This window comes from Homo sapiens, chromosome 6 (assembly GCF_000001405.40).
Source record: "Homo sapiens chromosome 6, GRCh38.p14 Primary Assembly".
In the NCBI taxonomy this organism is placed as follows: Eukaryota; Metazoa; Chordata; class Mammalia; order Primates; family Hominidae; genus Homo; species Homo sapiens.
The window spans coordinates 9,141,986-9,151,767 of record NC_000006.12 but is presented as its reverse complement, the minus strand read 5'-3'; positions in this window follow the sequence as shown (position 1 = coordinate 9,151,767).

Here is a 9,782-nt window from a genome sequence, read left to right as displayed (position 1 = left end):
CTGTTGACTTAAAGGTAGGAGAAGCCTAAAGTGTCCAGGTGGCAATCTCAACTTCCAGTTTAATGGAATCATTGTTGTGTCTCCTGACGGCAGCCTTCCTCCCTCTGGAACTAAGACCTCTAGGCAAGCAGGACGTAATGTCATGGCAACAGGAAGCAAAAATTTTGCTAGTAGATCACTAAGGGTGATGGTGAGTGGTGCCACTTCCACTTCCACCCTTTGATTCCTGGACCCATGAATCCTGGATATGGGAGAAACAGTACTATATATCAGACGCTGATTCAGAGAATACATGGCCTTCTGGAGATCTCTGCCCCAGCCCTGCAAAGTATTGTCACCTAGTTGGCATTGTAATTGTGACTTCAAAAGGCCATTCCACCATTCTATCAATCCAGCTGCTATAGGATGATGGGGAATATGGTAAGACCAGTGAATTCCATGAGCATGAGCCCACTGCCACACTTCTTTAGCTGTAAAGAGAGTGCCTTGGTCAGAGGCAATGCTGTGTGGAATACCATGACAATGGATAAGGCATTCTGTGAATCCATAGATGCTAGTCTTGGCAGAAGCATTGTGTGCAGGATAGGCAAACCAATATCCAGAGTAAGTATCTACTCCAGTGAGTACAAACCTCTGCCCTTTCTGTGATGGAAGAGGTCAAATATAATCAACCTGCCACCAGGTAGCTGGCTGATCACCCCGAGGAATGATGCTATATCTAGGGCTCAGTGTTGGTCTCTGCTGCTGGCAAATTGGGCACTCAGCAGTGGCCATAGCCAGGTCAGCCTTGGTGAGTGGAAGTCCATGTTGCTGAGCCCATGCGTAACCTCCATCCCTGCCACTAAGGCCACTTTGTTCATGGGTATCCATTGGGTGATGACAGGGGTGGCTGGGGAAAGAAGCTGAGTGGTGTCTGTCCACAGAAGGGTCATCCTATCCACTTGATTATTAAACTCCTCCTCCACTGAGGTCACCTGTCATTGAGCACTCACATAGGATACAAATATCTTCACAGGTTTTGACCATTCAGAGAGGTCCCTCCACATACCTCTTCCCCAAATTTCTTTGTCATCAATTTTCCAATCATGCTTCTTCCAAGTCCCTGACCATCCAGCCAAACCGTTGGCTACAGCCCATGAATCAGTATATAATTGCACGTCTGGCCATTTTTCCTTCCATGCAAAGTGCACAACCAGGTGCACTGCTCAAAGTTCTGCCCACTGAGATTTCCCTTCACTGCTGTCTGTCAGGGATGTCCTAGAAAGGGGCTGTAGTGCTATAGCTGTCCACATTTAGGGGGTGCCTGCATATCATGCAGAATCATCTGTGAACCAGGCCCTAGTCTTCTCTTCCTCTGTCAACTGATGATAGGGAACTCCCCATGAGGCCATTGGTGCAGGCTGGGGAAGAGAAGTCAGGGTGGCAGGGTGGAGACCATGGACATTTGTGCCACTTCCTCATGTAACTTACTTGTGCCTTCAGGACCTGCTCAAGTCTGATCACGTATATACCACTTCCATTTGATGATGGAATGCTGGTGTACATGACCCACTTTATGGCTAGATGGGTCAGAAAGTACCCAGTTCATGATAGGCAGTTCAGGTTGCAAGGTGACTTGATGACCCACAGTCAAACGGTCAGTTTCCAACAAAGCCCAGTAACAGGCCAAGAGCTGTCTCTCAAAAGGAAAGTAGTTATCTGCAGAATATGGCAGAACCTTGCTCCAAAATCCTAGAGATCTCCGTTGTGATTCACCTATGGGTGCCCGCCAAAGGCGCCAAACAGCATCCCTATCTGACACTGACACCTCAAGCACCATTGAATCTGCTGGGTCATATGGCCCAAGTTGCAAAGCAGCTAGCACAGCAGCCTGGACCTATTGCAGAGCCTTCTACTGTTCTGGACCCCACTCAAAACTGGCAGCCCTTTGGTTCACTCAATAAATGGGCCAGAGTAACACACCCAAATGAGGAATGTGTTGCCTCCCAAATCCAAACAGGCCTACTAGGCATTGTTTCTCTTTCTTGGTTGTATGAGGAGCCAAATGCAGCAACTTATCCTTCACCTTACAAGGAGTATACCTCAACAGGCCTCACACCACTGGATCCCTAGAAATTTTACTGAGGTAGAAGGTCCCTGAATCTTCGTCAGATTTATTTCCTACCCTCTGGCACGCAAATGTCTCACCAATAAGTCCAGTGTGTTTACTACTTCTTGCTTACTGGATCCAATAAGCATAATATCACCAATGTAACGGACTAGTGTGATATCGTCCAGAAGTGAAAAGTGATCAAGTTCTCTCCGAATAAGATTATGAGACAAAGCCGGAGAGTTGATATACCTCTGAGGTAGGACAGTAAAGGTATATTCCTGGCTTTTCCAGCTGAAGACAAATTGCTTCTGGTGGGCCTTATGGACAGGAATGGAGAAAAAGGCATTTGCCAAGTCAATGCCTGCCTAACAGGTACCAGGAGATGTGTTAATTTGCATAAGCAATGAAACCACATCTGGCATAGCAGCTGTAATTAGAGCCACCACTTGGTTAAGCTTACGATAATCCACTGTCATTCTCCAAGATCCAGCTGTCTTCTGCACAGGCCAAATAGGAGATTTGAATGAGGATGTGGTGGGAATCATCACCCCTGCATCTTTCAAGTCCTTTATGGTGGCACTAATCTCTGCAATCCCTCCAGGGATGTGATATTGCTTTTGATTTCCTATTTTTCTAGGTAGAGGCAGCTCTATTGGCTTCCATTTGGTCTTTCCCACCATAATAGCCATCACCCTACCAGCCAGGGAACCAATGTGGGTGTTCTGCCAGTTGTTAAGTATGTCTATGCCAATTATGCATTGGGGAAATGACCACAGGTTGAGTCCAGAGACCCACTGGACCCACTCTAAGTCAAACTTGAGCTAAAGCTCCATTAATTACCTGACCTCCAAAAGCCCCTACTTTAACTGGAGGACCACAATGATGTTTTGGGTCCCCTGGAATCAATGTCTGCTCACAGCCAGTGTCCAGTAGTCCCTGAAATGTCTGATCATTTCCCTTTCCCCAGTGACAGTTACCCTGGTAAAAGGCTGGAGGTCTCCTTGGGGAAGGATGGCAGAAGACTCACCACATAAACTGTGGGTAATGTAGTGGAGTCCTTCTTCAATGGGACCCAGCCTCCCACTTATTCAAGGGGTTCTGGGTCTGTAAACTGGCTCAAGTCTGGAAGCTGATTGAGAGTCTGTGATTCTCTGTTTTTATAATTCAAATTAGTCTTTTGTCCATTCGACCTAAAAGTTTTCTGCTTGTATAAATTAAGTAGGAATGCAGTAAGCTTCCTATCAATTTCACTTCTAGGAACACCATAAATAATTACCCAATGCCAGAGCTCTACATGAATCAGACTATTCTGATTGCTGCTTTGCCTCTGCTGTCCATTACGGTAGTTACACCCACCTGGCCTTTGATGGTTGAGTGCTGCCACTTGGCCCCTGCCAGAACCAATTGTTCCCATTGTATTTAAATTTTGCCACCCCAGAAACCAATTATTCCCATTGTATTTAAATTTTCTAGTTGAGCGGCTGCATTTCCCACTGTTAGATCTTACATACAGAGAAGAGCAATTACAGGGGTCATCAAAGATGCAGGTGCTGCCCTTACAAATCTATTTTGCAAGGCATTGGTCAAGGGTATATTTTCTGGACCCTCCCAGCTGGGATGAGTAGGTCTAAGATGACTAATCCACTTCACCATCCCAATCTCCCTAAGCCTTTGGATCCCTTCCTCTACATTAAACCAAGGGAGATCAGGCATTACCAGCTTGCTCACAGTGGGCCATCTTTTAATTCATATTTCAGCTAACCAAGCAAATAAACTATTAGAACCTTTTTAAACTCCCCAAGCTGCAAAATTAATAACAGAGTTCTTTCTTAGTGGACCCAAATCGGTAAATTCAGCCTGATCCAATTCTGTTCTTTCCACCATTATCCCATACCCTTAATATCCATTCCCATGCCTGTTCTCCAGATTTCTGTTTATATAAATTAGAGAACTCAAACAATTTTCTTTGAGTGTAGCACACTTCCTCATGGATCATACTCTCAACCTCACCTCTAGGGACCCACTGGGACTTTATTCTAGTTATAAGTCTAGAAGCAAACAGGGGTGTTGGGGGTGGCTCCTAAGGAGAAACAACATTATCTTGCTTGGCAACTGCCTCAGGGCAGGTCATCACTGTTGCCTCAGGCAGCACAGGGTTTATCTCCTCAGAAAAGGTGGAAAGGCTGATGGCAGCATGGGTTGGGGAGGGGATGTTGTCATTACTGTGAATGGGAAAGCTGTTCCTTCTGGCAAAAAAGTTTCATCAGAGTTTACAAACTCAGTGTCCCCAGCTTCATCAGGTCCTCCCATACATCCCCATTCCAAGTTGCAGAGTCCCATTCTCTTCCAATCAATGCCCTCACTTTAACAGTAGACACCTGGCGAGGCTGTGCATGCACCTTTTGTTGCAGGTCAGCCACTTGCAGGATAAGAGCTGTGTCTGTTTTCCCACAATTTCAGCTCTTTCTCTACAGGAGATAAGACTCTCACTCAGGGTAATCTTGGCAGATTTGAGGCTCAGTATCTGCTTCTGAAGCCAGGAGACAGAATCCCTAAGTTCATCATCTTCTTTCATCCTTTTGTCCACTGAAGTTAGGAGCAACCAACCAGCTTCATTATGTTCTTTGGTTCTCCATATATGGTCAAAGGTATTATGTATAGAGTCACTAAACTTCTTGCCTCTCGTGAGCAGTGAATTAGGAGTGTCAAATGCATTAATTTTGCATAACTCTCTAAACAGTTCACACCAAGGAATATCAGTGTTCTCCATACTATTGGAAGTACAGTCCTTAGCATTTTTGGGTCTAATCATATCAAGCAGCCAACTCTAGAAACCCCGAAACCAATGAAAGAACTCCATCCTTAATATTCTGTTCCTCTGGAACCACTCCTTGTACCAAAATATGTATTAGTCAGTTTTCTAGAGGGACAGAACTAAGAGGATGGATATGTATCTATATCTACATCTATCTCTATCTATAGATATAGATCTATATCTCTATCTATAGATATAGATCTATATCTATCTCTATCTATAGATATACGTGGCTATAGATATATATATCAATATACATAGCTATAGATATATCTATCTCTATCTATAGATCTATATCTATATCTCTATATCTATAGATCTATATCTATATCTCTATATAGATCTATCTCTATATCTATAGATCCATATCTATATCTCTATATCTATAGATCCATATCTCTATCTATAGATCTATATCTATATCTATATCTATAGATCTATATCTCTATCTATAGATCTATCTCTATCTATAGATCTATATCTCTATCTATAGATCTATATCTCTATCTATAGATATATATCTCTATCTCTATCTATAGATATATATCTCTATCTCTATCTATAGATCTATATCTATATCTATCTCTATCTATAGATATACATGGCTATAGATATATATATCAATATACATAGCTATAGATATATCTATCTCTATCTATAGATCTATATCTATATCTCTATATCTATAGATCTATATCTATATCTCTATATCTATAGATCTATATCTATATCTCTATATCTATAGATCTATATCTATATCTCTATATCTATAGATCTATATCTATATCTCTATATAGATCTATATCTATATCTCTATATAGATCTATATCTATATCTCTATATAGATCTATATCTATATCTCTATATCTATAGATCTATATCTCTATCTATAGATCTATATCTCTATCTATAGATCTCTATCTCTATCTCTATCTATAGATATATATCTCTATCTCTATCTATAGATATATATCTATATCTATCTATATAAAGGGGAGTTTAGTAAGTATTAACTTACATGATCACAAGAGCCCACAATAGGCTGTCTGCAAACTGAGGAGCAACGAGAGCCAGTCCGAGTCCCAAAACTGAAGAACTTGGAGTCCAGTGTTTTAGGGCAGGAAGCATCCAGCAAGGGAGAAAGATGTAGGCTGGGAGGCTAGGCCAGTCTCATTGCTTCCCATTTTTCTGCTTGCTTTATATTCCCAGGTGGCTGATTAGATGGTGCCCACCCAATTAAGGATGGGACTGCTGTCCCAAGCCCACTGACTGAAATGTTAATCTCCTTTGGCAACACCCTTACAGACACACCCAGGATCAATATTGCATCCTTCAATCCAATCAAGTTGACATTCAGTATTAACCATCACACATACCAAGTAATTTTTTATTGGATGTTGGACATTTTACATTTTACATTGCAAGGTACTGGGTTTTGTTACATTCCTTTAAGAAATGTTGGATCTTGTTTTAGTGTGCAGTTAAATTATTTTGCACTAGTTAAATCCTTTCAAAGCTTTGTTTTTAAGCATCATTAAGGTACGTTCAGAGAAGTCTTTACCCAGGGTAATTTAGCCCCACTGCTAAAATAACTTTATTATTTATTTATTATTGATAAGCTTGTGAGAATTCCACTTGAAACCCCATGTGTGATGAGGTCTTTTCACTCCGACTGATGGGAATACAAACTCTTCACAGTCCTGTGTGAGCCACAGAGGCTGTTCAGCATTCTCTCCTTTGGTGGTTCTTTTCTCAGACTCAGATTGTTTCCTCACACATGTATGTACGTCAGTGTTCAGCAAAGACTCTGGGGATCTCTTTGCATGTCATTGAAGGTTTCTCTCTGTACAGTGCCCTCCTTTCAGGTGCTTTATCTTGCACTCTGATCTCCTCCTCAACCCAGTGAGGCCTTCAGCCCAGTCTTCTGGTGATGAATTCTCTCAGCTCAACTCTTCTGCTGCTCCCATATTGCATTAGTACTTGAGGATGCCTTTAGATACCTATCCTTTAGACAGTAATCTGATGAGTAGAGATCATCATTCTTACTTGTTTTCTTTCTTTCAGGCATCACCAACCTGTACTACCAGCTGTCCAATGTTTTAATCCCTCATTTCACATACTTTGTCCAATTTAGCTTGTTGTTCAGTATCTGAGGATACATCCAGTCCCTATTATTTTATATGGACCAGAAGAGAGAATATGGTACAGCTACTTTTGGAAAAAATTGCTCATTTAAAGCTAAATCTATTCAAACACTATGACCCAGCAATTCCACTCCTAGGAATCATTGTCAAAGAACTAGCACTCACTGTGGTTTCTAAACATGATTCTCCATGAAAAGAAAACAGATTTCCTTGGAATAAGAAATGATTTTAGAGCTAGTATGGGGAAAGTACAAGATCATCCTAGAACATCGTATTGAGCCAGAAAATCACAAAGCGCTCAAAGAATGATGAATGATGCAGCTATGTCAAGATAACATAGGATACAGTTTGATGGAGTTCCTACTGATCAAATCTCAAACATTTTGCTCATAAAAATAAATATCGGGTTGGGCGCGGTGGCTCACGCCTGTAATCCCAGCACTTTGGGAGGCCGAGGCATGTGGACCATGAAGTCAGGAGTTCAAGACCAGCCTGGCCAAGATGGTGAAACCCCATCTCTACTAAAAATACAAAAAAATTAGCTGGGCGTGGTGGCGGGCACCTGTAATCCCAGCTACTCCAGAGGCTGAGGCAGAGAATTGCTTAAAACCTGGAGGGGCAGAGCTTGCAGTGAGCCAAGATCGCAGCACTGCACTCCAGCCTGGGCGACAGAGCAAGACTGTCACAGAAAAATAAATAAATAAATATTGATAGTAATGGATTATATACTATGGTATGCTAGTAAACTGGCTCTCCATAATGGAAAAATAAAGAAGCTCTGGTTGGCAGTATTTGCTATTTCTATATTGTAAATACTCCATTATGGTTGATTTTAAGCTACCAACATTATGACAATTCACACAGATTTAAGAAGAGTTGCCTAAACGTGGTTCTCATGAGTAAGTGAGCTTGCCATAAGATATCAATTATAACTATAGAAAAAAATAAGGATACAGAAATTTATACATATTATCAATAAATGATTAAATTACTTAATGGAGGAGAAGGGAAAGCTCTTGCTTATGGTGAAATTTCAACTAACGTGGAAGAAATGATGGAGTTGAAAATAATCAATGGATGCCAAAACTAGCAAGGAAAGTTTTAACAAAGAGCTCTAGATGTACACAATCTGAAAAAAAAAAAACCACTCTAAAATTACTTAGTATTTACCAAAAAGAACATTTGTGTAACTTCACAGTAAAGATGCCATTTGCTTTATTAGTTTCAATTTCCAACACGTACGGCTTAGACTATATAACCAAGTAATCAAGGTCAGTATCTTCAGTACCGAGACAAACTGACATTATGTACCTCCTATTAGAATGCACTGATTAGGGCCAGTGTCACTTCTCTGCCACACCTACTGCATCATTCAGGGTTCTCCAGAGAAACAGGACCAACAGGGTATATTTATACAAAGAGATGTATTCTAAGGAACTGGCTTATGTGGTTGTGGGGCTGGAAAATCCAAATCTGTAGGGCACGCTGGCAGGCTGGAAACTCAGGTAGGGTTTCTACATTACAGTTTTAAGGGAATCCTTAGGGAATCCTTTTGCTTTTAGGCCTTCACTGTTTGGATGAGGTCCACTCATATTATTGAGGGTTCTCACTTTGTCTAAAAGTCAACTGATTCTAGATGTTCACCACATCTACACACTATTTTCACAGCAACCTCTAGATTAGCATTTGACCTGACAAATGTGGACCATAGCCTAGCCAAGTTGACACATAAAATTTAACCATCCCATCTGCCAAAAAGTCATAATCTGAATTCAATCATAAAAAATAGACAAATAGATATGGTGGAACATTTTATGAACTAACAGGCCTATTGCCTTCTAAATGTCAAAATAAATGACAAAAAGAAGACTAAGAATCTCATTTAGATTAAAGTAGACCAAAGAAACATGACAATTAAACATAGTCTAGGATCCTGGATTTTGAGTGGTGTTGGATAAAAAAAGTTCCTGAGATAATTGATGAAATCAGATTATGCAGTGCAGGTTAGGTAATTTTCTAATTTTGACTTATTTTGCTGTGGTTGTGTAAGAGAAAGTCATCATTCTTAGGAAGCACTCTCGGAAACACTAGAGATGGAGTGTGCACAGTATCTCCTTCTCCCTGGAAGATATCTGAATCCTGGAACCTGCAAACATATTTTCTATGTTTGCAAAAGGGACTTTGCAGATGCAATTAAAAATCGAAAAATGAAGAAATTATCCTTGATTATCATGGTGGGCCCAATGTAATCACAAGGTTCTTAGAAAAAAAGCAAGAGGGAAGCAAGAGAAGCAGAGGCAGAGACTAGGAGATTAGAGCAGAGGCTGATTTCAAAGTGATGCAAATGCTGGCTTGGAAGATGGAAGGGGCTGCAAGTCAAGGAATCCAGGCAACCTTGAGAAACCAGAGGATTGAGGCAGCCTCTAGAACGTGGAAGGGGCAGGGAGCAGATTCTCCCAGACTCTCCAGAAGACCTGCTGATACATTTTTTTAGCCCCAGAAATCTCATTTCGGATTTCTGAATTCTAGAATGTTAAGGAATTTGTGGGGTTTTTTTTTACTTTCCTTTCCATGTACATTTTATTTTTAATTTTTTAAAATTTTAGATTCAGAGGTACATGTGCAGGCTTGTTACATGGATATATTACATAATGGTGAGGTTTGGGCTTCTAGCACACCCATCACCCAAATAGTGAACATTGTACCAAGTACATAATTTTTTTAACCCTCG